The 25,207-nt window shown below is 54.5% G+C and overlaps 1 protein-coding gene and 1 non-coding gene across 6 annotated transcripts in view, besides 8 other annotated features; both read right to left on the bottom strand.

The window, feature by feature from the left end:
* Nucleotides 1-25,207, bottom strand: part of RPS6KA1 (ribosomal protein S6 kinase A1) — a 45,265-nt gene that overhangs the window by 15,895 nt on the left and 4,163 nt on the right. For 2 of the 5 annotated variants that reach the window (NM_002953.4, XM_024448871.2), the window contains exons 2-14: nt 22,162-22,206; nt 12,148-12,264; nt 11,861-11,942; nt 7,654-7,734; nt 7,408-7,487; nt 5,634-5,740; nt 4,880-4,917; nt 4,393-4,535; nt 3,910-3,980; nt 3,506-3,594; nt 2,413-2,477; nt 2,031-2,133; nt 194-324 (exon numbers count right to left, since the gene is read on the bottom strand). In NM_002953.4, the coding sequence (NP_002944.2) occupies nt 194-324; nt 2,031-2,133; nt 2,413-2,477; nt 3,506-3,594; nt 3,910-3,980; nt 4,393-4,535; nt 4,880-4,917; nt 5,634-5,740; nt 7,408-7,487; nt 7,654-7,734; nt 11,861-11,942; nt 12,148-12,264; nt 22,162-22,206 (1,152 nt within the window). Of the gene's footprint in view, nt 1-193; nt 325-2,030; nt 2,134-2,412; nt 2,478-3,505; nt 3,595-3,909; nt 3,981-4,392; nt 4,536-4,879; nt 4,918-5,633; nt 5,741-7,407; nt 7,488-7,653; nt 7,735-11,860; nt 11,943-12,147; nt 12,265-13,095; nt 13,290-15,909; nt 16,020-22,161; nt 22,207-25,207 lie in introns of those variants that run through there. The other 3 variants (NM_001006665.2, XM_047427258.1, NM_001330441.2) reach the window with 2 other exon arrangements.
* MIR1976 (microRNA 1976) lies at nt 4,538-4,589 on the bottom strand. Its single transcript, NR_031740.1, has one exon. It is a non-coding gene; the product is annotated as a microRNA 1976 (primary transcript).
* Nucleotides 12,504-12,553: an enhancer, noted in NCBI's record as "active region_510". NCBI's record gives its function as "activates an Ori minimal core promoter by ATAC-STARR-seq in GM12878 lymphoblastoid cells {active_cell/tissue: GM12878}" and the evidence as "EXISTENCE:reporter gene assay evidence [ECO:0000049][PMID:35858748]".
* Nucleotides 13,224-13,413: a silencer, noted in NCBI's record as "silent region_484". NCBI's record gives its function as "represses an Ori minimal core promoter by ATAC-STARR-seq in GM12878 lymphoblastoid cells {active_cell/tissue: GM12878}" and the evidence as "EXISTENCE:reporter gene assay evidence [ECO:0000049][PMID:35858748]".
* Nucleotides 13,484-13,653: an enhancer, noted in NCBI's record as "active region_509". NCBI's record gives its function as "activates an Ori minimal core promoter by ATAC-STARR-seq in GM12878 lymphoblastoid cells {active_cell/tissue: GM12878}" and the evidence as "EXISTENCE:reporter gene assay evidence [ECO:0000049][PMID:35858748]".
* Nucleotides 16,152-16,796: an enhancer, noted in NCBI's record as "H3K27ac-H3K4me1 hESC enhancer chr1:26868826-26869470 (GRCh37/hg19 assembly coordinates)". NCBI's record gives its function as "activates a minimal SCP1, AML or CMV promoter by ChIP-STARR-seq in naive H9 embryonic stem cells {active_cell/tissue: H9 hESC(naive)}" and the evidence as "EXISTENCE:reporter gene assay evidence [ECO:0000049][PMID:30033119]".
* Nucleotides 17,039-17,088: a silencer, noted in NCBI's record as "silent region_483". NCBI's record gives its function as "represses an Ori minimal core promoter by ATAC-STARR-seq in GM12878 lymphoblastoid cells {active_cell/tissue: GM12878}" and the evidence as "EXISTENCE:reporter gene assay evidence [ECO:0000049][PMID:35858748]".
* Nucleotides 17,469-17,518: an enhancer, noted in NCBI's record as "active region_508". NCBI's record gives its function as "activates an Ori minimal core promoter by ATAC-STARR-seq in GM12878 lymphoblastoid cells {active_cell/tissue: GM12878}" and the evidence as "EXISTENCE:reporter gene assay evidence [ECO:0000049][PMID:35858748]".
* Nucleotides 17,529-17,578: an enhancer, noted in NCBI's record as "active region_507". NCBI's record gives its function as "activates an Ori minimal core promoter by ATAC-STARR-seq in GM12878 lymphoblastoid cells {active_cell/tissue: GM12878}" and the evidence as "EXISTENCE:reporter gene assay evidence [ECO:0000049][PMID:35858748]".
* Nucleotides 19,962-20,141: an enhancer, noted in NCBI's record as "active region_506". NCBI's record gives its function as "activates an Ori minimal core promoter by ATAC-STARR-seq in GM12878 lymphoblastoid cells {active_cell/tissue: GM12878}" and the evidence as "EXISTENCE:reporter gene assay evidence [ECO:0000049][PMID:35858748]".

Raw genomic sequence — 25,207 nt, 5'->3', positions numbered from 1 at the left:
TACACCCATATCATCATCCAATTATCAGGGCCACTGTGTGAGGTGGGCCTTACTGTCCCTGTTTTATGTTGGAGGCCCTACTGGTCCCACAGTGGCATGAGGGTATGAACCTGGTTCTGTCCAACTCAGAGCCTGTGTACTCAGCCATTCTTTAGAAAAGGATAATGGAGCAGCAGCCCCCTGCCCCCCTCACCTGTACCACCGAGTGCAGGGGTGCCTGCGGGGCACGAGGCTTGCCGTCGTCTTCCATCAGGCCGGTGGCCACGAAGCTGAAGCCCCGGAACAGCTGATGGGCCCCAGCGCTGGGGGGGATGCCTGGGGAATCTGTACGGATGGAAGGAGAATGTGAGGGTACCTGAGGAGGTCCCCTCGACCCTGAGGCAGCCCAGCAAAGGGGGAGCACAGGGCCTCCAGACCTGCCTCAGGGGCTGGCCGTGGCGGGAGCCTGCAGAGGGCCTGTCCATCACAGGCCTTGGCCCAACTGCTCATATGTGTTTATTAGACCAGCCCAGTCCTGTCGCATGAGGAACAAAAAAGACTCTCACATCCACCTCCATCCCAGGCCAAGACAGTTCATCCCTTCCTGGATGCTTCCTCCCCAGCTTCCCCATCTTACGTCAGCCCCTTCAGGTCCATCTCTGCACAGCAGCCAGAGGGAAGGTTCCAACCACAAATCTGCCACCCTGCCCACACCTTTCAAAGGTTCCCGTCTGCCTTCAGGAGTAAGTCCAGCTCCTGAGTCTGGCAATTGAGGGCCCTGTGATCCTCACCTCCTCTCTCTCCATACCACAGCTGAGCCATGTTGGACTTCTCAGATCCTTAGAGGGGTCTCTGAGCCCTTGCACACACTGTTCCCTTTAACTAGATAATCCACTCCTTGCCTATCCTTCAAGACTCAACTCGCACGCTCCCTCCTCTGAGAAGCCTTGCCTGATGCTGCTCCTCCGGCCCCTGACTCCTACGAAGCTGCACTTGTCACGTTGCCCAGCGGACTGCTTGGAGAAGTGCTGTCTCTGTCATCAGAGGCGTGCAAGTGCAGTGAGAAAAGCACCCCCTTGTGGATCACCTGAGGTCAGGAGTTCGAGACCAGCCTGGCCAACATGGTGAAACCCCGTCTCTACTAAAAATACAAAAATTAGCCAGGCGTGCTGACACATGCCTGTAATCCCAGCTACTCGGGAGGCTGAGGCAGGAGAATCTCTTGAACCCAGGAGGTGGAGGTTGCAGTAAGCTGAGATCACGCCATTGCATTCCAGCCTGGGCAACAGAGCGAGACTCCATCTTGAAAAGAGGAGAGGAGAGGGAAGGGAAGGAGAGGGAAGGGGAGGGGAGGGGAGGGGAGGGGAGGGGAGGAGAGGGGAGGGGAGGAGAGGAGAGAAGAAAAGCACACCCTCTCCTAAAACATGCCCTTATAGGAGGTTTCCCAGAACATTCCACCCCACACCCACTGTCAATATCTGGCCAAAAAGTTAGGATTCACCAGGTTCCTTCCCAGAAGCTCCCTCACTGGCTTCTTGTAGCAACCCCAGGGAATGAGTGGGTTTGTGGCTGTGCCCTTGTTCCAGATAAGTACACGGAGGCCGGGCAGTCAGGGCAGCCAAAGCTGATTCCCATGCCTGTCCCTGACCTATGGGCACTGTCACCTCTGCTCAGCCACCACACAGTGTGGCTGGGTCAGATTCTTTCTCCCTGACGTGATGGTAAGCCTGATGTGTTTGGTCTTCCCAGTGGGCTGGAAGGTGCCCCGGGCAGGGGTCCTGGCTTTTCTACTGTGGCCTTCACCACCCACACATCCCCACTCCCACTCTCTCACCAGACACAAAGAGACCCACAGAGCCCCATAGTGAGAGAGTCGGGCGGAGTGAGACAGGGACAAAGTCAGTCCCACGGAGCCAGAAACTCACCCGCCTGCCCACCCGCATACCTCGGCCTGTCAGTGTCCCTGACTATCTCTGCCCCCCAAGCTGCCACCGACTCCCGGCTTCCCTCCTGTACCAGCCCAAGACAGACAAAACAGATAAGGGACGCACCCTTGGGTGTGCGGGACGTGAACTCGGTGTCAAAGTAGAAGGTGTCATCAGGCTGAGCCACTGCTGGCTTGAAGGGTGGCTTGATCTCACGACGGTATAGCTTCTGCACAGTGGGGTGGGCACTCTGGTCACCATGGCATCCTCAACAGCCCACCAGGAGCCCCATGCAGGAGGAGGTGCTGGGCTTGGAACATAGGCCATATTGCCCAGCTCTCGGAATTGCTTGCCCTCAGGAGGCCAGCCCTTGTCTTCAAGGGCAGGCTGTGACCCTCTGCTCCTGCGTCTGGGGCCCTCGCTGGCAGAGGCTCCCCTCCCACCACCCTTCCTGTGGCCAAGATGGCTGAGCCCTGGCCAGAGCCCTGGTGTGGGTGGACACACTCACATTCCAGTCAATGGTGGAGTAGAAGACATGCCGCTTGATTTCCTCTGCCCCATCAGGGCCGGAGCCTGAAAGAGCCCAAATGAAGGGTCTGTCCCTGGCTGGCACAAGTCCCAGATATTACCCTGCCCACCAAGCAGCCTCACAGGGCTCTGGGACCAGCTGCTGGAGCAGAGGGGAAAATGGGCTCACTCAGCCTCAAATCTACCCAGCCATCACCCTAAGGCCTGTCACCTACTCAGCATTTTCCACTTTCTGGAGCTTCTGATGAAGAAATTCCAATGTACCAGTGGGAGGAGGAAGGCCCAGAGACTTTAGGCAACTTCTCCAAGGCCACACAGTTAGAACAGAAGCTGAGCTTGTTCTGAGACCTACAGAGAGCCCCACCTCATTCCAAGGCAAGCCTCATCTCTGTTCCTCTTATCCCATTGACCTTTTCAACCATAGGACAGGCTGTTACTCCATTCGACCCCAGGGGCCTTGACTGGACCTTACACAGCTGGTCATGGACCAGATGAACCCAGGAGCCAGGGAAGCCAGCACACACTGGACACCTACTACATGCCGGCATGTTCACACAACCTCATTTCATCAACAGAGCCCTGAAGCAAGCTTGGGATCATCATCTCCCATTGAGACGAGGAACCTGCGGTGCAGAGAGGTGAAGTCACCTGCCTGGGGTCACTTAGTTCATAAGTGGCCTCATTCGTTTAACAAATATTTATAGAGGGACTGTTTTGTGCCAGGCAGTGGGGACCTGACACAGAGCCGGGATTGGGACCTATGCCTTCTGACTCCTGAGCTCATGCTATTTCTCTTGTGCCAGCAGCCTTGGCGGAGAAGCTGTGTGGGGGCCTCTGTCCTTGTCCCCAGAGGGAGTAGGGATGACTCAGTTCCTGCCTTCCCCCTACACACAGGTCAACTCCCCCCTCCACAACACCACACATGGAGCCAGAAAGCAGGGTGGCCCGCGGCATTGTCTGCCCACACAAAGGACAACGGCCCCTTTCAGCCCAGATGTGGCCCTGTGGCCTAGGCTGCAGCTGTACCCGGCTCCCCATCGCCACATCCCCTCCCCTGAGCTGGGGCTGCTTACCGAGCCGGTTGGCAGGATTCCGCTTGAACAGGGCCCGCAAGAGGCTCTGGGCTTCAGTGCTCAGAAACTGGGGCATGCCTAGCTTCGCCCTGAAACAGCCCCCGGGACTCATCAAGGCTGAGCCCTGCCCCAGAGGCCCCATCTCCCCCGGCCCCTGTCCAGATCTAGTTCCCAGCTCAGTCTAGACAAGCCATCCACTAATTCACTTCCCAAAGGCTTCAGGGATCCTACCCACAGGCCCCCAGGGATGAAAGAGGGGCTCTGGAAGGTATAATGTTTAACCCAGAGGAGAGTCTCATTAGAGAGGGTAGCTGAGGCAGGGACAGGGTAATAATATTCTGACCCCCAAACTGGGGCTGGGGCTTGGAGGAGTCCATTGTTATCAGGGCAGGGCTGGGGCTTACTTCAGAATCAGTGTCATGGTCTCCTTCCGGTCCTTCCCCTGGAAGGGCAGGGAGCCCGTCAGCATCTCAAACTGCAGAGGACAAGGATCTATTCAGGCTCTGATCCCTGTCTCCGACACACCTCCCGCCTCCTCCCAGTCAGACCCCTCTGCCCCAGTCCCAGGATTCTTGCTGATACATCCAAGTCAGCCTGGAGCAAGAATTATGCCCGTCCCTCTTGCCTCTGCCAACCAGACCACCAGGAGCAGCGGTGGGGGCGCGAGGCTGGGGAGAAGGCCAGCACTGGGTTAGGCGCGTCCCAGGTGGGGTCAAGCCTGGGATCCTTCCAAGGAAGAAAACTGCAGGTGCATATAGGGTGAGGCCAGCTTGGCTGTGAGAGGAGACGGGGAGAGCCCTAGAAATGATCAACCCCCTCACTGTACAGATAGGGAGACTGAGGCCAGAGGCTTGGGCTGGATCCTTTACCCCTGTCTGGGCACTCACCATCAACACCCCATAGGACCACCAGTCCGCACTATGGGAGTGGCCCTGGCGGTTGACGACCTCAGGGGCCATGTACTCCACTGTCCCGCAGAAAGAATAGGCCTTCTTCTCGTGGTCAATGGCCTCTTTGCTCAGGCCAAAGTCTACAGCAAGGAGGGCAGGAGGACACACCTTAGGACCCCTGCCTTCCTTGCTGCCACCCTTTGCACACCCAACCCCCGTGCCCAGAGGCCAGAAGGCATCACCCCCATGACACTCAGGAGGAAGCTAAGGCCCAGAGAGGTCAGGTGACTTGCTCAACGTTACACAATGAGGGGCTGGGATTCCAGCTGAGGGTGTTCCAAGTCTGAGGCCTGAGTTTTTGACCACTTCCAAGTAACTGGCACGGCTTCTCGGGAAGAATGAGCCCCCAGCACTCAGCCGAGACCTATCATGACCTTGTCCTGTCCTCCCCTGGGTCCCGAGGGGGCAGGCGCCCTCCACTCACCAGTGAGTTTGATGTGGCCCTCCTCATCCAGAAGGATGCTGTAATAGAGAAATAGTGGTCAGGGCCCCTCAGCTGTGGCCGTGTGGGTGATGGTGTTACCACAGGGCTGTGGGAGTTGGGTTCAGCCCAGAGGAGGTGCTCCACCCAATTCTCTCTGATGACTGGGCGGGTGTTGCAGGGTGGTAGCAGTACCACGCAGGGGTGTTGCCTATCTTTTTTGCTAATCCTTGAAGCAACTGTGTGAGGCAAGTACTATTAGGGCCCCGTTTTGCTAATGGGAAAACTAAGGCTCAGGGCAGTTAAGTAGCTCTACAGTCATTGAGCTAGTAAGTCTAGCTAGTAGGTGGAGACAGGATTTGAATACAGGGCTGCCTAACACTAAAGCCAGATCTTATTCCAACTCACCACCTGCCCCTGGCTCCTTAGTTATCATTTGAGGGTAGTTAGATATTAGGGAAAATTCTATAGGGCTTTATCAAGGAAAGACCTCTAAAGGTGGCATCTCAAATGTCACACTAGATTAGCAAAAAAAGACGGGCAACATTACCTGCATGCAAAGTACCTGGCCCTTGGTAATGGTAGCATTAGTGACTGGGCAGCTGGCACTACCACCCACCCCACTCACCCATCCCTCAGATTGCCCAAGAGAGGGAGACGTTTCTGGAGAAAGCCATGCCCACCCACCTCAGGATGGCCCTGTCCTAGAAGAGGCCTCCCCTGGGGAGGCTGGGGTGGGGCTGGAGGCTTCACTCACTTCTCAGGCTTGAGGTCTCTGTAAATGATACCCAGGCTGTGCAGGTGATCCAGGCCCAGAGCCAGCTCAGCCAGGTAAAACTTCACATCCTCCTCCGTGAACATCACCTGCAAAAGACAGGAGGGGCCTTCAGCAGGGACCTCCTCTTCCTTAAGAGCTGGGGCACTGGGCAGTCAGCAGCTTCCTGGTCCTGAAGAGCCACCCTGGGAGGACCCTTGGAAACCCCAGGCCATATAGCCTTCTCATCATACAAAGGATTTGAAGTATGAAATGACTAATACGCAAGCCACTCATTGTGGCACCATTCAGAAATAGAAGGGGTGGGAAACAGGCCTAGGGTCCAAGAGTAGAAGGCTGGAATCAGCCCTCTCCCCTGCATAATGGAGTGCTTTGCAGCCATGAACTGGAACAAGGAGTTTCTCCGTGTTCTGACATGGAGTGAGCTCCAAGATATACTATCTTGAAAAAAGCAAGGTACAGAACAGTGTATACAGAATAGTACTTTTTACATAAGGAAATGGGGGTAGGAATGAACATATATCGGATTTGTTTGCAAAAGAAACATGGGAAAGTTAAACAAGAAACCAATAAAAATGTTTACCTATAGATGGGAATAGAGGGGGCTGGGGTGGGAGGAAGACTTCTTCATGAATATTTTTCTTTTGAATCATGTATATTACCTATTCAAACATTAAAATCACAATTTAAGCCGGGCACGGTGGCTCACACCTATAATCCCAGCCAGCAGTTTGGGAGGCTGAGGCAGGCGGATCACCCGAGGTCAGGAGTTCGAGACCAGCCTGGCCAACATGGAGAAACCCTGTCTCTACCAAAAATACAAAAATTAACCAGGCGTGGTGGCGTGCACCTGTCATCCCAGCTACTCGGGAGGCTGAGGCAGGAGAATTGCTTGAACCCGGGAGGCGGAGGTTGCAGTGAGCTGAGACCCCACCAGTGCACTCCAGCCTGGGTGACAAGAGCAAAACTCCATCTGAAAAAAAAAAAAAAATTACAATTAAAAAAAAAAAAAGCTAGATTCTCTTTAAAGTTTGAATTGTACGAATGGTCCCATTTTCTAGCTCAAATCCTTTTTTTTTTTTTTTTTTTTTTTGAGACAGAGTCTCGCTCTGTTGCCAAGCTGGAGTGCAGTGGCGCGATCTTGGCTCACTGCAACCTCTGCCTCCTGGGTTCAAGCGATTCTTGTGCCTCCGCTTCCTGAGTAGCTGGGATTACAGGCACACTCCACCATACCCAGCTAATTTTTGTATTTTTAGTAGAGACGGGGTTTCACCATGTTGGGCAGGATGGTCTTGATCTCCTGACCTCCTGATCTGCCCACCTCGGCCTCCCAAAGTGCTGGGATAACAGGCGTGAGCCGCTGCGCCCAGCCTCAAATCCTTTTATATTGGTTCAAAATCCTTTTGGATGACATACGCAAGATGACTGCTAAAGTCTCTGGCTCTCTGGGTGACTTTGGGCTTCTCCCCTATCTTCACACCTCTGCCCAGAGCAGCCCTGGAAGAAGGCAGGTGCAGAGGTGAGAGGAACCCTTAGCTCCCTGGAGTTTCCTTGGGAGAAACTCTCAGAGACCTTGCCAGCGTATGGCCTCCATTCCAGGGTGCGTGGTATTTCCTGGGCCAGGGGCTGCTAGGCAGGCCTGGGTGGTTCCAGGTTCAAGCCATACCAAACACATTCTGTACAGGGCCCTGGGATGGGAGGACTTGTCGTCCCTCAGCTCCATCCCGGGGCCCTCTGGCAGTAGATGTCAGCTCACCTCTTTTGAGAGCCGGGTGAAGAGGTCCCCACCACGCAGGAAGTCCAGAATGAGATAGAGCTTGCCCTCGGTCTGGAAGGCTGGGAAGAGGGAGAAAGGCAATGGTAGAGTCGGCGCGGCCTTATGATCTGCTTCTCCGGCCCTGGCTCCCTTGGCCTGCCAGGCAGGCGGTGGGACAGTGTACAGACCACAGGCAAGGGCGAAGGATGGGTGGGGTAGGAGCTCAGGCAGGGCCAGAAGCTTTACCATAGTGCAGCTTCACCACGAATGGGTGATTTACATCAGCCAGGATGTCTCTCTCCATCTTGGTCCGGACGCGGTCACGTACTGGCCAGACGAGAAAGGAAGTCACCAGTAGCCTAGACACTCAACACAGCCACTCCCAAGCCCCCGCTAAGGGATCTCTTTTCCACTTGTTCCTCCAGGCCTGAGCTCCCAAAGCCCCCTCACCCAGGGCTTTGGGGACACTCAATCCTCAGGTTTCCTCCTTGCCAGTCTGTTTCTGGCTCCTTGGCTGGCTCCTTGTCCCCACCCCTCACAGCAGTGCCCACAGCTGGGGCCTTGGCACCCTGCCCATCTCTCTGGTCCCTTTTCCCACCAGACCCCATCAAGACCTGTTAATCAGCCAGTCTGAGCAACCTGCTCCCCCAGGGTTCTCTGCTTTGTCAGATCCTCAGACTTTGCCTCTGCACCTCCCCCTGGCATGCCTTCACCAGCTCTGCTTTCCATCTGGCATAAAAATTCCCAAATTCTGGTCTCGGGGCTGGTAAGAACGGCTACCTGGTGAGCTGGATCCCTGGGCCTAAAATCCCGATCTATGGGTCTGGGTGGGCACCCTTCATATTATTTATTTATTTTTTTAAATAATACAAGTTATTGGGCAGTTCTGATTCTCAGCAGGTTCTTTGACTCAGCTTAGGCCTCACCTTCTCCAGGAAGCGCTCCTTAATTTGCCAAGCTGGGTTAGGGCCTTCTGGATTCCTACAGTGCTTGTGCTTCTCCTTTGGAGCACTTTTCTCTTTTTCAGGTTGCCTTCTAAATTTATTGAAGCCCACCAAGTATCATGTTTTATTGATTTCACTAGTCTGATTAGAACAGGCTTTTGGGCCGGGCACAGTGGCTCATGCCTGTAATCCCAGCACTTTGGGAGGCTGAGGCAGGAGGATCACTTGAGGTCAGGAGTTCGAGACTAGCCTGGCCAACATGGTGAAACCCTGTCTCTATTAAAAATACAAAAATTGGGACCAGGCGTGGTGGCTCACACCTCTAATCCCAGCACTTTGGGAGGCCGAGGCAGGCAGATCATGAGGTCAGGAGATCGAGACCATCCTGGCCAACATGGTGAAACCCTGTCTCTAGTAAAAAATACAAAAAATTAGCCAGCCTGGTGGCACGTGCCTGTAATCCCAGCTACTCAGGAGGCTGAGGCAGGGGAATCGCTTGAACCCAGGAGGCGGAGGTTGCAGTGAGCCGAGATCACGCCACTGCACTCCAGCCTGGTGACAGAGTGAGACTCTGCCTCAAAAAAAAAAAAAAAAAAAAATTGGCCAGGCGTGGTGGCTCATGCCTGTAATACTAGCACTTTGGGAGGCTGAGGAAGGCGGATCACCTGAAGTCAGGAGTTTGAGACCAGCCTGACCAACATGGAGAAACCCTGTCTCTACTAAAAATACAAAATTAGCTAGGCGTGGTGGCGTGGGCCTGTAATCCCAGTTACTCGTGAGGCCGAGGCAGGAGAATCACTTGAACCCGGGAGGCAGAGGTTGTGATGAGCCGAGATTGCACCATTGCACTCCAGTCTGGGCAACGAGAGTGAAACTCCGTCTCAAAAAAGAAAAAAATATATATACAAAAATTAGCCAGGCGTGGTGGCATGTGCCTGTAATCCCAGCTACTCAGGAGGCTGAGGCAGGAGAATTGCCTGAACCTGCGGAGCGGAGGTTGCAGTGAGCCGAGATCACACCACTGCCCTCCAGTCTGAGCGATAGAGTGAGACTCCATCTCGGGAAAGAAAAAAAAAAAAAAAAAAAAAAGAACAGGCTTTTGGACATGGCTGCCTAGGTTCATTTTGGGCAGTGTGTTTCAACTAAGTTTATCACAATATTGATTACCCCTTGACTGAGACCTCTCATGTGTCCTTTGACTTTTTTTTAATGGGACAGGGTCTCACTCTGTCACCCAAGCTGGAGTGCAGTGGTGTGATCTTGGCTCACTGCAACCTTTGCCTCCCAGGTTCAAGCGATTCTAGTGCCTCAGCCTCCTGAGTAGCTGGGATTACAGACACACCAAACCTGGCTCATTTTTTTTGTATTTTTAGTAGAGACAGGGTTTCACCATGTTGGCCAGGCTGGTCTTGAGCTCCTGACCTCAAATGATCCACCCACCTTGGCCTCCCAAAGTGCTGGGATTACAGGCATGAGCCACCGCACCCAGCCTTGACTTTTATTAAAAGGAGAGGTGGAAGGCTAGGGAGTGCTTACTAAGACCAGACAAAATGTCTGAGCAATACACACAATGCAAAACTAAAGGCTTTTTTGGTCCATGTACTGGATTGGCAGTTTCCTCTCCAGCCTCATAGTCCCAAAGCCTTCACTAGTCCATCCATCTAGTATGAATTCTATTCATTCGTCACTGCCATTCCAGAATTGATGCTCACAGCTGCTTATCTTAGGAGATCTGGCCAATGTACTCCTCCTGCATGTCTTTCCGGAGTCTTGTTCAGGACACAATCCTTGGCCCTTGCTACAAGTAGAAGCTGCAGCTGCCTTCCAACACACCTTCTATGTCAGCACACAGGGCTGCAGGAGCTGGTCCCCTTCTTCTGTTTTAATTTTTGTGTTTTCCTCATTAGACATGACAAGGACCACACCGGAGTTAACTATTTTGGTCACCTTACATTTTCTTTTTTCTTTTTTTTTTTTTCTGAGATGGAGTTTCGCTCTCATCGCCCAGGCTGGAGTATGGTGGCGCGATCTCGGCTCACTGCAATCTCCACCTCCTGGGTTCAAGCAATTCTTGTGCCTCAACCTCCTGAGTAGCTGGGACTATAGGTGTGCATACCAGCATACCCAGATAATTTTTGTATTTTAGTAGAGATGGGGTTTTCCCATGTTGGCCAGGCTGGTCTCGAACTCTTGACCTCAAGTGATCCACTCGCCTCAGCTTTCCAAAGTGCTAGGATTACAGGTATGAGCCACAGCACCCAGCTTACCTTACATTTTCAAACCACCTCTACACTTTAGTTCAGGCAAACAGTTTCTCCTTCCCAGGGTCCCCTTCCTCAAACATTTTTGGTCTAGAGAAATCCACTCATCCTCCAAGGCTTCCCGCTCCTTAGGTGTCCCCTTGGCCTCTGGGCCCACCCTCTACAAGACTACACCACCACTCCCAGCTCCCCAGCGCGTCGGATATCCACGCACACCAGTCACAGCACCGGCTGCACCACACTGTCGGGTATGCTTAGCCTCTCCTGCCCAGCCTGTGAGCCCTTCACAGCAGGGACCCAGGCTTTTCATCTTTCTCCTCCCTCTGAAGCTGCCACCATACCTCCTGGGGGATGACTTCCACACCCACCAGGCTGGCCTTAGGATACCAAAGCCACCCATAACGTCCTTAAGGCTGACGCCTCCTACTGCCCCCACTACCTCCCCAGCTAGGATTTGGCTCTGACTGGGATCAGAGGTGCACACCACCACACCCAGCTCATTTCTTTGTATTTTTAGTAGAGACGGGGTTTCAACATGTTGGTCAGGTCTTGAACTCCTGACCTCAAATGACCCGCCCACCTCAGCCTCCCAAAGTGCTGGGATTACAGGTGTGAGCCACCGCGCCCGGCCTTGACTTATTTAAAGAGAGACTTGGCTATGACTCTGCCGGGTCAGTGGTCACACTGGTTCCCAGGCCAAGTGGTCAGTATCCAACCCAAAGCCCACTACCAACCATCTTCACACCCTTTGTAAGTCCCCAGAACTCTAACCTTGGCTCGGGGCTCCCTTCTGAACCTCTCTGCCATCCAGCTCTGTGGCCCTGCCTGGACTCACCCTCTCTTGCCTAGCCCAGCTGCCTCCCTGGGCTCCCTGCCTCTTCACTCACGCCCTTCTCTCAGGCCCCTGAGTTAGGGGCCACAGAGGTCTCCCCCAGACTCTTCTAGCATCAACAGTCAGAATGCCTCTGCTTGACCAGCTTGGTAGTTGAGGGCCCCGCCCCCTGACAAACACATTGCATTTACCCTATTACCACCTTCCAGACCTTCACAGCCAGTCACTAGCACTTGGCTTAGGGGGAGGAGGATTGGCTGGCGAGGGATAGCTGAGAAATAGGCCTGTTTCTCCACCTTTGAACTAGGTGCTCCTGAAGACAGAGCTGTCTCCCTTGCCAGACCCAAGGCCCTTGAAGTCTGGGCTGCCTCCCTCAGCCAAGCCTGGGTTCTGCACAGGGAGGTGTCCCCACTCACCTTTCAGCGTTGCCTTCTTCAGCACCTTCATAGCATACAGGTGCCCACTGTCAGGCCGGGTGACTTTCCGCACCAGGAAGACCTGAGAAGGCAGAGCAGGAAGCAGGGCAGAAGATGGGAGAGGTCTGAGTCCAGGCTGACCTCTATCTTCTCTGAGCCCCAAGCTGACCTTTTTGCTCTCCCTGGGTACCAAGGTGACCTCTGATCCTTTGGGCCCCTAGGTGACCCTTGACCCCCACCTCTAACATGACGAGTGTTGCCTTCACAGCTATGGGCTCATGACTCACTTTGCCAAAGGATCCCTGGCCCAGAACCTTGAGGAGCTCGAAATGGGATGGATCAGCCTTCTCAGAGCCAGCCTTGACGTGGTGCGTGATGGAGATCTCCTTGAGGACGCCCTCATCCTGATGGAGGGACAGAGCTGGTGGGCATGGTGGGCCCCATCCAGGCAGCAGGAGGCTCCCCTGCCCAAGTCCATTCCCACCAGACCACAGCAGATGGAACCTAAAGGCCCAATAGACGACTTCCCTGAAGGGCTAGCCTCCAGGGTCATCGATTTCAAAAGAGCCTCAAAGTCTGGGGAGGTCAAACCAGAACAGGCACCGCTCCTATTGCTCACGATGCTCTGGCCTGGTTAGGCCCAAAGGGATGCCCAGGCATGGCCAGGCTGAGTCAACCCCAGGCTCTGGCTGAGACCCAGAGACCTGCCCCAGGTCCGCCCGTGGGGCTTCCCTCCCCCTGTTGTTTTAGTGTTGCCACAATAGGAAGTAGGCTTGTTCTCATATGGGGAGGTAGAGCTGGGCCTTCGTTCCTGGTCAGGATGGGATGAGGGGATCCCTCTGGTCAGCAGGACAGGGCTGACGTGCACAAAGACCCAAGAGTCACCCAAACTCCCCCATCAACTAGGTAAGTGCTGGCCTGGGGCAGGTCAGAGTTAAGGCCAAAGACTGCATGGCTCAACTTCCCAAACTTCCCTCATACAAACCTACTGGAAGCCCCTTGCCAGGTCCTAGCCTTTCCAGGACTCTACCCTCCCTCCAATCTGCTGCCATTGCCTTGAAGCCCTGAAGTGCCTCCTCACTTCCCCAGGAAGCAAGTCTGGGCAGGGTCCAGTCACCCTGCAGGGCCAGGCCTGGGCCAGGACAGCCCAAAGCCAGCTTATGTTAAGCTGGCTTCCCAGGCACCTGCTGCAAGGGACACAGCCAGGTCAGGACCAGACATTCGGGCACACTCACCGAGTCCCGCTGGGGGCCAGAGCCAGGGCCAGGGACAGGCAGAGAGGTCTGGCTGATCCTGGGCCGCTGCTTCCTGGGAAGCCAGGGGATCAGGGCCCAGAGCCGCAGACGGGGCGGCTTGGGATCCTGCTCCATCCGCCCAGCAGGGCCACGGCACCATGGCAGGAGCAGGCAGAGTCCGGGGCTGCCGCAGTGGTGGCCGGGACCAAGGCGGATGTGCAGGGTAAGGGCGGGGGCTGGGCCTGGCCCAGGGCAGCCAATCACTCAGGGCCTGTGGTTTCCCAGCACCAGGCCTACACCCTCACCACGTTCCCTTCCTCTCTCTCCCCCTCTCCTCAGAGCCTGAGGGCTGCCCTCTGGCCGTTCCCCCATCCTCCCTGTGGGCCTACAAAGGGAAAGTCCCCTGCCAATGCAGCTGCTGAGCAGACTGGTACCCAACAGCAGAGAGGTACCCAATAGCAAACAGGTACCCAACAGACAAAGACAGGTGCCTGATATGTGGAGGCAGACGAAGAGAGACACCCAACAGGCAGAAGCAGGCACCCAACAGGTGGAAACAGGTAAGAATGGCATCCATCATGCCTGTAATCCCAGCACTTTGGGAGGCTGAGGCGGGCGGATCATGAGGTCAGGAGATCGAGACGATCCTGGTTAACATGATGAAACCCTGTCTCTACTAAAAATACAAAAAAAAAAAAAATTGGCCAGGCGTGGTGGTCAGCTCCTGTAGTCCCAGCTATTCGGGAGCTGAGGCAGGAGAATGGCATGAACCTGGAAGGCGGAGCTTGCAGTGAGCCGAGATAGCGCCACTGCACTCCAGCCTGGGTGGCAGAGCAAGACTCCATCTCAAAAAAAAAGAAAAAGAAAAAGAAAGAATGGCATCCAACAGGCAGGGGCAGGAGAGAACACATACCCAACAGGCAGGGATGGAGGATAAGGACACGCACCCAACAGGCAGAGGCAGGAGGAATTCATATCCAATAGAAAACAGATGGAGACACGTACCTGACAAGGGGAAGCAGGAGGGGACTCATATCTAACAGACAGAGGTGGACAGAGACTCATCCCCAATGTGTGTAGGCAGATAGGGACACAAGCCCAACAGCCAGAGACAGATGGGGACATATACCCAATAGGTAAAGACAGATGGGGACATGTACCCAACAGGCAAAGGCAGGAGGAACACATCTCCAATAGGCAGAGACAGAAGAGAATACCAACCCAACAGGCAATGACAGAAGGGGACATAAACCCAACAGGCAGGCTGGGCGTGGTGGCTCACGCCTGTAATCCCAGCACTTTGGGAGGCCGAGGCAGGTGGATCACGAGGTTAGGAGATCGAGACCATCCTGGCTAACACGGTGAAACCCCGTCTCTACTAAAAATACAAAAAATTAGCTGGGCGTGGTGGTGGGCACCTGTAATCCCAGATACTTGGGAAGCTGAGGCAGGAGAATGGCTTGAACCTGGGAGGGGGAGGCTGCAGTGAGCCAAGATCGCACCACCGCACTCCAGCCTGGGCGACAAAGTGAGACTCCGTTTCAAAAAAAAAACCAACAGGCAATGACAGAAGGGGACATGTATCCAAAAGGCAGAGACAGATGGTGACACAAACCCAACAGGCAAAGACAGAAGGGGACAGGTATCCAACAGGCAGAGACAGATGAAGACATAAACCCAACAGGCAGAGACAGAAGGGGACATGAACAACAGGCACCTAACATGTGACATGTACCCAAAAGGTGAAGTCAGGCACTTATCAAGTGGAGACAGAGATTGGAACCCAACCACAGACAGAGGTAGGCAGCAAAGAGAGACAGCGGGAGAGTCAGCGAGCCCCAAGCAGACTGACAATACCTAGGGCAGATAGGTCTGACACCTGGCAGACACACGGGCAGGCAGCAGGGCAGGGATCCCCAGGAAGGGGTTAAGGGCAGAGCTGTGGGTTCTTGCTGCTGTACCTGGGGTGGGGAAAGAGATGAGGGGAGACAATCTGCAAACTCCCACCACTCAGGAGAGGACTCTCGTATTTCTTGCAGACCCACCTCTGAGATCTCCCATTTCCCTAGGATTTTCCTCCTATGCCAAGACCTGAGGGGGACCCAGACAGTAGCTGAGAGGACTATCTCCTGAGTGCAATCTGATGTCTTTGACTCTGATCATATCCTAAAAACTGTTATCCTCATTCCAGGAATAGGAAACTGAGGCCCAGAAGACAGTGACTCACCAAGGCTCAAAGCAAACAGTGGCAGAGGTAGCTTGGACCCAGGCGCCTCCCTGCTTACTGCCTGGCCTGGGGTCAGCAGGCATCAAATGCCAGGAAAGTGTGGGCAGGTCAATCAGCCAGAGCCACGTCCTGCCCACCCACATCTGCCTAAAACCCCTTCTCCTTCAGTACTAGGGTCCGTCTGTGACCTCCCACTGTAGGTCCTGGCCCTCGGAGACACAATCTTATCTTCAGGGGAAGATACCTAACCCTTCCTGACAGATGGAGGAGTGGGTGGAACAGCCCCACAAAAACACCACAAAACTGCAGTCAAATCAGACCCCTGAGTGTAACCTCCTGGCGGGACAGGCAGAAAGCCTGGCTCAAAGAGGGACTAAGAGGGGGCCAAGCCCACATGGCAATACCTGCACACCCCACCCTGAGATCTGAACCTCCACCTCACCTGTCTGCCTCTGACTGAGAGCACTCCCTGGGGACAGAGACAGGAAACCACCCAGAAATCCCAAGGGACAGAGCCACCCCCAAACCCATTCCTTGCCCAGTCATGGTGACAGACACCGCTGGAGGCAGGCGACTCTTCTGCTCACCTTTCTGGGACAGGGAACCAAGTCTCTCTCAACCCTGGGGAAATCTGCTGGGGTCTGCATGGTGGGGCTCAAGCCGGTGACCAGAGGGCCCCGTTACTCTTCCTACTTCTGCTTTTTTTAGCCTTCCTGGCCCAGAAGGCAGGGTCTCTGGCCCCCCTCCTTCTCACTTCCCCCTCTGCAGGGAGGAGGGGCAGATGATGGGTCAGGCTCCTCTATAGAGGAGGGGACACTGCAGACCCCAAGCCCATGACCCCAGGGAAGGCCCAGGGGCACACCTCTCCCTATGTCCTCTGACTCTAAGGAGGAGAGACAAGAGCAGAGACAAAAGTCACAAGGCGATAACGCAGTGTCACAGTGGGCATATCAGCACCCGCAAACATCCACGTGAGGGGAGGACCTGAGAGAATGTGGGGCAAAAGTCAGCAAAGGCCACTGTCCGACTGTCCAGTCCAGAGCTTAGATACTGTGTCCCACCCCTCCATAGCATCCTTCCCATGGCTATGCCCACCCACAATGGCAGCCCAGAAAGCAGGCACCAGTGGCCCCCCTCCGGTCCTGCCCTGCTCAGCTGCCCCGAAGAAGGCTGCCAGTCCCAAGCCCCAGGATGGGTAAGGCGGGCAGAAAGCCTGACCAAGGACCTCACAGAGGTCTGAGAGGAGGAGCAGGCAGCTATGGGGCAGGGGTTGACCAGGCCCAGCCCCTTTCTACGTGGCCTCATTTCATCACTCATACCAGCACAGCACAGGCACTGACATGCACACACACACACTCAGGCCGATGATCGGAAACCCTGTCCGCAGACAACCCCTATGCAGAAACACATGCCCCCACGCACACACGGACTTCCCCTTCCCTGTCCTTGCAGAGTCTCTGCGGGTGGATGGCTGCCGGGAGATTGTGAAAGATGCCTCCCTCAGCCAAGCCTCTCATTGCTCTCCAGCTTCCTCAGACAGGGGTTTGGAGGCTGGGGCAGCTCTCGGAAGCCCCAAAGCTCACCCTCCCTACCAACCCCTGGTCCCTCAGATGCAAAGAAGGTAGAGAGGTAGCTACTTTGTGGGAGGAGACTCTCCAGATACGGGCTGAGATAAACCAAGGGGCCTAGTCCACACGAGCCTCTGTGGCCAGCAGGGTACCAGAAGGGGCAACAGGAAGGAAACAGTCTCAGAACTGCCTTTGCTGAAGGCTGTGTGGGCCCTGAGGCCTCTGGTGGCGGGCGGGGGGAGGACAGCCACCAGCCCACATCCCTTGGTCCCTGCCCCATCCCCCGCATAGGGACTTCCTCTTTATTTACTTCCTCCTACAGGGCAGCTGGAAGAGAAGCCCAGAGCCCCCAGGCCTGATCCGTGGTCTCTAGGGTTCCCACCCTGCCAGCTGTAGCCAAGCCCACCTGCCAATCCTGGCCCTAACGGACACCAAAAGCCCCTTCCCCAGCTGGCAGCATTTGCAGGGCCCTTCCAGGCGCTACCCCCTCCCTCAGTGGGACAGATGTCCTCAGACACATCTCCCAGCGTGCCTCCAGGCAGGTGAGGAGGGGTCCACAGCTCCCTGGCAGCCTTGAGGGGGAGCTGGCCTCCAACACTAGGTCAGGACTGGCATGGAGAGATGATGGTAAGTGTGCCTCCTACTGATTGAGCAGTTGCTGCACGCACACAGCCTTTTTTTTCTTTGAGAGGGAGTCTCACTCTGCTGCCCAGGCTGGAGTGCAGTGGTGAGATCTCAGCTCACTGCAACCTCCGTCTCCTGGGCTTAAGTGATTCTCGTACCTCAGCCTCCCGAGTAGCTGGGACTACAGGCACACTCCACAATGCCTGGCTAATTTTTTGTATTTTAGTAGCGACAGGGTTTCATCATGTTGCCCAGGGTGGTCTCAAACTCCTGAGCTCAGGCGATCTGCCCGCCTCGGCCTCCCAAAGTGCTGGGATTACAGGTGTGAGGCACTGTGTCCGGCATTTTTTTTTTTTTTTTGAGACAGAGTCTCACTCTGTTGCCCAGGCTGGAGTGCAGTGGCATAATCATGGTTCACTGCAGCCTCTTGGGCTCAAGCGATCCTCCCACCTCAGCCTATGGAGTAAGCTGGGAGGACAAGTGCGTACCACCACATCTGGCTAATTTTTAAAAAATTTTTTGTAGAGGGCCGGGCGCGGTGGCTCATGCCTGTAATCCCAGCACTTTGGGAGACCGAGGTGGGCGGATCACCTGAGGTCGGGAGTTCGAGACCAGCCTGACCAACATGGAGAAACCCCGTCTCTACTAAAAATATGAAATTAGCCGGGCATAGTGGCATATGCCTGCAATCCCAGCTACTACGGAGGCTGAGGCAGGAGAATCGCTTGAACCTAGGAGGCGGAGGTTGTGGTGAGCCAAGATCGTGCCATTGCACTCCAGCCTGGGCAACAAAAGTGAAACTCCATCTCAAAAAAAAATTTTGTTTTTTGTAGAGGATGGGTCTCCCTGTGTTGCCCAGGCTTGTGTTGAACTCCTGGCTGGGCATAGTGGCGTGCGCCTGTAGTCCCAGCTACTCCGGTAGCTGAGGTAGGAGGATCACTTGAGCCTAGGAGGTCAAGGCTACAGTGAGCTGTGGTTGTACCACTGCACTCCAGCCTGGGCAACAGAGGGAGGCCCTGCCTCAAAACAAAAACAAAACCAAAAAACCACAACTATCCTGAGACAGCCATAATCAAGGTGTTGTGGGTGCCCAGAGGTGGTGACTATTTGCCAGTGCATGAAGTCAAGAAAGACCTTCCAGAGAGGGGCAGCCCAGCTGGGTCCTGAGGATGAACAAATGTTGGCCAGGCAGAAAGGAGGAAAAAAAGACACTCCAGGTAGAGAAAGACCTGTGTGACCAAGGGGCTTAAGGCCAGGAGGGTAGAGTGGGAAGTCAGGAAGAGCTGGCCACTCACTAGCTGGGTGCTCCCGGGCAAATCTGTTTCCCTGTCTGAACCTCGGTTTCCTCCTCTGTAAAATGAAGGTTAGAACAATATGCTCCACTCTCAGATTGTTTCTAGAAGCAAAATGGGCCACAGAGACAAGGGGATGTTGGAAACAGAACTTCTCCCAGGTTTACTTAGTCTTACTGCTGTGGGGTCTCCCCTGGGCAGGCTGAAGGGACAGAGCCCAGCCACAGGGCCCCAGGTACTAGGAGGGTGGCTGGCCTTCTCTGACCAGGCCAAGGGAAGTTCCTCCCAACACCTGAGGCTGCCCAAGGCTCCCTGAAGTCCACAGTCACATCCTGCCTAAGCTCTGGCCAGGGGAGCATGAGGGATCCGGGAGGGATCAGGGTTTCATAAACAGGAAGAGAGGAGGGGAGGGGAGACGCTCAGCTCTCAAAATAGACCTGCAGGCGCTTCAAAGGGGTCCAGCTCCGGAGATAGCTGGGGGAGGGGGCCTGGGATGCCCAGTCCACTCCCAGAAGGGAGGGAGGGCAAATGGAGCCCCGGTGTGCCTTAGGGTACCACGTGCACCTAGGTGCTGAGGGGATCCAGAGAGTTCTCACCCTGGATGGCTATCCACACTATTGCTGCTAAAAGCCAAATCCCAAATCCCAAATCCCGCTTTCTGCCTGAAATGAATAAAATAAACAAGCATTAAACAGCAACATTGTGCCACAAGCCCTGTTAGATACTTTAATTTATATGTACCACATTCTCTTTTCCAGGTAGCCCTGAGAAATAGGCTTTATTCTCCTTTCATTTTTCAGGAAAGAACCCGAGCCTCAGCAAGGCAAATGACTTGCCCAAGGTTACAAGGCAAATAAAAAATAGGTGCAGGATTCTGAACTCAGAATCCCTGACTCTCTTCCCTGCCTCTTTGCCACCTGGAAGGCCCAATTCTTTCTCCAGCTGCCCAAATCCTGCCTTTTGAGTCCCAGCCAAATGCCAGTTCCGCAGGGAACATGGCCTGTGCCCTAGAGCCCACCCCAACTCTTCTTCCTCGGCCATGCACGGCAATGACCATGTCTCTGGTCCACACTCAGCCCTGAACTCAGATGCCATCAGCTGGGTTCCCGGGGACGTGCTCATCTCGTCATGCTACGGAGAGAAATGTGGGCACCTGGAAGGTGGTGGTATACGTCTCTGCCCAACATGGGCCTAGCACAGAGCAGAGGTTCTATGTGCCCACAGCTGTGCTCTTGCCCCATCATAGCGCCTACCACATGGCTTTCCTGTCTCTACCCTCTGCCCAAAGATTGGAAGCTTCTCGAAGGTGGGGGATATTGACTTCATTTTAGGCCCTCCTGTGAACAACAGGGTGCACCGAATGTCTGATTAGGATAAAGTGGCCCATTGCCAGCTCATTCCACTGCACAAAGTGATGAGGTCCGGACCACAGGTTGAGCGCCCCCTGGTGTATTAAGCCCAGAAGTGGGCATTAGGGACACTGGTGGCTGGGACAACAGATGGATGAGCAGGTGCCCAGGACTGGTCCCACTTGGAATCACAGAAAGCCAGTGCTCCTCCTCTTCAGCACTCAGGGTTCTCTGGACTATGAGGAATGACCTTGAAGCCAAACAAGACTTGTCTTCATTGCCCACCAGCTATGTGATGTTGAACCTCAATTTTCTCATCTGTAAAATGGGGACAGTAACAATCTACCTCCAAGGATGTAGTTAGAACTAAATGCAAAGCACCTGGTATGATGCTAGGCATAGGTTAAGCTCTTTCTCTTCCTTAAGTGGCATTCGAGACTCCATGTCCCATCCATCTCCAGCCCTGTCTCTCTTCCTACCCCAGGATCTTCTGCTCTAGAGCAAGAGTCATAGGCTTGGGAGCAAAAGGTTACCTGCCTCGGCAAGCTCCTGCCATCTCCCAGTAAGCTCCTCCAGTTCTTGAGGTGAGAAGCTGTACTCAGCACAGGTCCCTAAATGCTGCAAGCTCCTCTGCAACCCCCAGAACCTCAGCCCTGAGATCTGAACACCGTGTTTCTTCACTGGGAACCTACAGTTCTTCATTTTGTTACTAGGCAACAAGAGGTAGCTACTTTGTGGGAGGAGATTCTGCAGACATGGGCTGAGCTAAACCAAGGGGCCCAGTCCACACTATTTACTGGCCTCTGCTGGTCCAAGGTTGCCACAGCAACCCACAGAGAAGTGGTGCGAGAATACTTCCCTCACCTGCCCTATCCTACCCAGCTCAGTCACCTCATCTTAGGAAGCTGAGTCAAGGTAAACATCAGGACTAATCCTGCATCCATCTCAAAGGTCAAGCTTATGGCAGGTCTGGTGTTCAAGCCAACCTAGGTCTGGAAGGTGGGGTCACTGGCAGGAAGCTGAGCTGAGCAATATACTAGGACATTTTCGGTGCTGGCACCGAAGCTGCCATGTGCCAGGCAGTTACTATCTCATCGTCCTTCACATTGCTCCTGTGAGACAGACACTGTTTCCCCAACTTACAGCTCAGGAAACTGAGACTCAGAAGGGAGAAGAGCTTCTGGTTAAATGGTGGGGATGGAGCCAGGACTGGAACCCGGATTTGCTCTAACACCATGCTCTGTCCCTGCCTAAGCAGCTTCCAAAGACCCTCCATAGCCAGCATCTCCTGTGACCTCACAGCCACCCTGTGAAGGGGATGTGGTCTTTTCCAATATACAGATGAGAAAGCCAAGGCCCAGAGTGTACAAGGAACCTCCCCAAGGTCACACCACTGTCACCTAGTCCTGGTGCTTCTGGCAAAACACAAAACCAGCAACAGGGGCTAGGGGGCTACAGGAAGGGGCCCAGGGGAAGCAGAGATAGCAGGGGTGAGGGAATGACCCTCACACTGGGAAGTGGAAGCCCTAAGAAATGCCATGAGTGCCACATGCCAGGCAATGGGCCTGGTTAGCCTTGAGCGGCCACCAGCACCCCCTTTCCAGCTCACGTGCCCAGATGCTCACTTCCAGGCTCTTGGCAAGCGCAGCTCTACCAAAAGGAGCAGGACAGCTGGCCTGAGCCCCTCCCATCACTCCTTAGAGCCAGCCCAAATTCCATGAGTAAATAAACTGCAGGGGCATCCTGGCCTGGGTGACAGGTAACCAGAGCCCTGACCTGGATTCTGCTCCTGACCCTTTCTGGGCCACAGTCGCCTCACCTACAAAATAGGAAGGTTGGAACAAGTGATTTCTATGCCCAGGGTTGCCACAAGGATTCGGTGGGCCCTGAGAAGGACGGCTGAGTTGGGCAAAGGGGCTAGAGGCTGGAGCCCTCAACCTCCTCCAAAGCCATGCAAACAGGATCCCCCACAGCCCCTCGCTCAGGGTGCTGGCCATGGTCCTCACCTTGGACGGCTGAAGTCCAGCTTCTTCCCCTGAGGTCTGTCCATTCTGGAAAAGAGAAAGGAGATTGGGGGAGCACTGTCAGAACTTACACGCTTGGGAGAAAGACTCTGTGGGGCACCCCCACCCTTAGGTGCTCCCAATAGCCATGGAGGCCATGGTGGTAGGGCAGGAGTCCTGGGTGGGTCCCTCCACCTCCACTTTCATGGTGTAGGCACAGGGACCAAGTATTCTGGCAATGGCGCCTCATGACTCAGGCAGAATATTCCCAGGGACCAGCATTCTGACCCTCATGCTGTCTGCCTGGCAAACACTTCATCTCTGAAGACTTAGTTCAAATGTCACCTCCTCCCAGGGAGAAGGGAAGGGTCATGTGTGGCTTCCAGCTCTACCAGATACAAACCTTGTACAAACTAGTCAACTGTGAGAGGACTCAGTTTCCCCATCTGTAACATGGGGTGGGGTAGTTACACTGACTTCCCAGAGTTGCTGCAAGGGTGGAAGGAGACAAAGTCTGGGAAAGCATGCAACCCAGAGATGGTGGCTATCCTTGCCCTGCCCCACTCTGGGACCCCTCCCCTGACCTTGCCAGGCAGAATGACTGCTGCCTCCACTTCAGCCTTCATTGTAGCACTTGTCCCACTGCAGGGACTATTTACACACAGGCCTGCCCTTCCTAATAAATGGGGAGTCCCACGAGGGCAGAGACGAGGGCTTGGGGCTAACAGCTGCTCTCTTCCAAGCCTCTGCCACATGGCAGGCACTGGGCTCAGTGCCTCGCACCTGTGGCACCACTTTTTTTTTTTTTTTTTTTTTTTTTAGACAGAGTTTTGCTCTGTTGCTGAGGCTGGAGTGCAGTAGTGCAATCGCAGCTCACTGCAACCTCCGCCTCCCAGGTTCAAGCGATTCTCCTGCCTCAGCCTCCCAAGTAGCTGGGATTACAGGCGTACGCCACCATGCCCGGCTAATTTTTGTATTTTTTTTAGTAGACACGGGGTTTCACCACGTTGGCCAGGCTGGTCTCAAACTCCTGACCTCAGGTGATCCGCCCGCCTCGGCCTCCCAAAGTGCTGGGATTACAGGTGTGAGCCACTGCGCCTGGCCCCTGTGGCACCATTTAATCCTCATGACAGCCCTGGGAGGTAGGCCCTGGCCCCATGTGGCAGAGAAGGAAACTGAGGCTCTGAGGGGACCTAGTGATGATGCCTATGGTCACACAACTGGTGAGTGGGGATTCAAAATCTGGTCCCAAATCCAGGAGGTGCTCCAAACAGGTCAGCTGAGAAACAGCCCAGAGCCCAGAGCCCCCCTCTGGTCAGTCTTGCCTTTTCCAGCCCCCAGACTTCACTCTCAGGTGGTTATTAAATATGCTGGGGTGTGTCAAACCCAGCCCATCTGTTTCCTGTGTGATGTGAGGCAAGTAACCTACCCTATCTGGGCGTTTGGAAGCTGAAAGAAATTGCCCCACCCCTCCTAGAACAGGGAGAGTGTGGTGAGGCAGACAGGAGGTTCCCAACAGCTAGGAAGGCCTGCTCTAGAACAGGTCTGGATCTGGACTTTGGAGCCAGGAGCTGGGTCCATGGGGCAGCTGTAGCCCTGCTTGGCTACAGCTGGGTAGGCACAGCTGTGCTCTACCCATTACATAATCTCCCTGCCCCTGGAACAGCTCCCCATTGCCACTCCCAGGACATCCTGCCCCCTGAGCCCCTTTAATGCCCCTAATCTCTCCCCAGGGGCCAAATGTTCTACAGGCCCCTCCATGCACACATCCATACACACACTGTCATCTCTCAGCAGCCTGGGGAGAAGGGATGGGTTGGTCAGGGCCCAGGGGCTGGGCTGTGGTAGGGATGCTTTTGTAGACTGAGCTCCACTTCACCCAGCATTCTAGACTCTTGACATAATTCCTGCAGATGATCAGAACAGCCTACCCACCAGCTCCCTGCCCCACAGCCTTCCCCACTCCAAACCCTCATCATTCCTAAAATCAAGTGCAACTGCTGCACTCAACTCACTCAGTCAACATTTGCTGAGAACCTTCTATGTACCAGGCCCCAAACCCCTCTGTGGCTTCCACTGCCTGTAGAATCAAGTCCCAGCTCCTTAGCATAGAAATCAAGGCCATCATCTTCAACTGCCCAGCACAATAACTAGGAATGTAGGTTTTGCAACCTGACCTTGTGGGTTCAAATTCTGGCTTCTACCACCTGCGTGACCCCTAGAAGGTTAGTTCATTTACTGGGGCTTCAGTTTCCTCATCTGTGAAATGCGGATCAAAGTAACATACCTCAATGGTGGCGGCAAGAAGCAAATGAAATAATGCCTATAAATATATACACCTGACATGTAACTGGCCTACAAACAATAGCCATTCTTATCATTGGGCCCTATTTTTGAGCTAAACTGAACAACCACAGACCCTGAAAACAGTCTATTTTATATCCCCAGCATTTGTATGGTGGCTCCCTCTACCAAGAAAGCCTTTCCTGCCTTGTCACTTTGGCAAACTCCTGATCTTTTATCAGGACTGAATTCAAATGTCACCCCTGTCCACACAGCCTCATGTTCTTTCCTCCCTCCTCTCTACCCCCATAACCTAAGCATGCTGCAGGTTAACTCGGGAAGGGGCCATGGCTTGTCCATCATCAACATCTTGGCACCCAGCCAGAGTCCAGCATGTGGTTTATCCAGTGAAAGTTCAACCCAGCAAAGACAGCAAGGAGGCCAGAGCAGGTTCTATTACTCCTATTTTTCAGATGAGGCTCAGGAGAGTTAAGGGACTCACCGAGGTCCCTCAGCAGGCAGGTGGCAGACATGTGACCATAACCCAAAGTCACGTGGCTGCAAGCCTACTGAGGGTGGGGAGGAAGGGGTAGGTGTACCTAGAGGTGTGGGTTTCTTGAGCAGTGGCCTGGATGACTTAGGGACCCCCCGCTCTAAGGCAGTCTGGCTGCCTCTACTCCCTGGATCTCTGGCTTGGGTGTCATTCTTATGGAACGCCAAACCTGTAAGAGTAAGGGAACAGGCAGCCCTGGAGAACAGACTGGTA

This window comes from Homo sapiens, chromosome 1 (assembly GCF_000001405.40).
Source record: "Homo sapiens chromosome 1, GRCh38.p14 Primary Assembly".
NCBI lineage: Eukaryota > Metazoa > Chordata > Mammalia > Primates > Hominidae > Homo > Homo sapiens.
The sequence above is the reverse complement of the archived record's forward strand: the minus strand, read 5'-3'. Positions and strand labels throughout refer to the sequence as shown.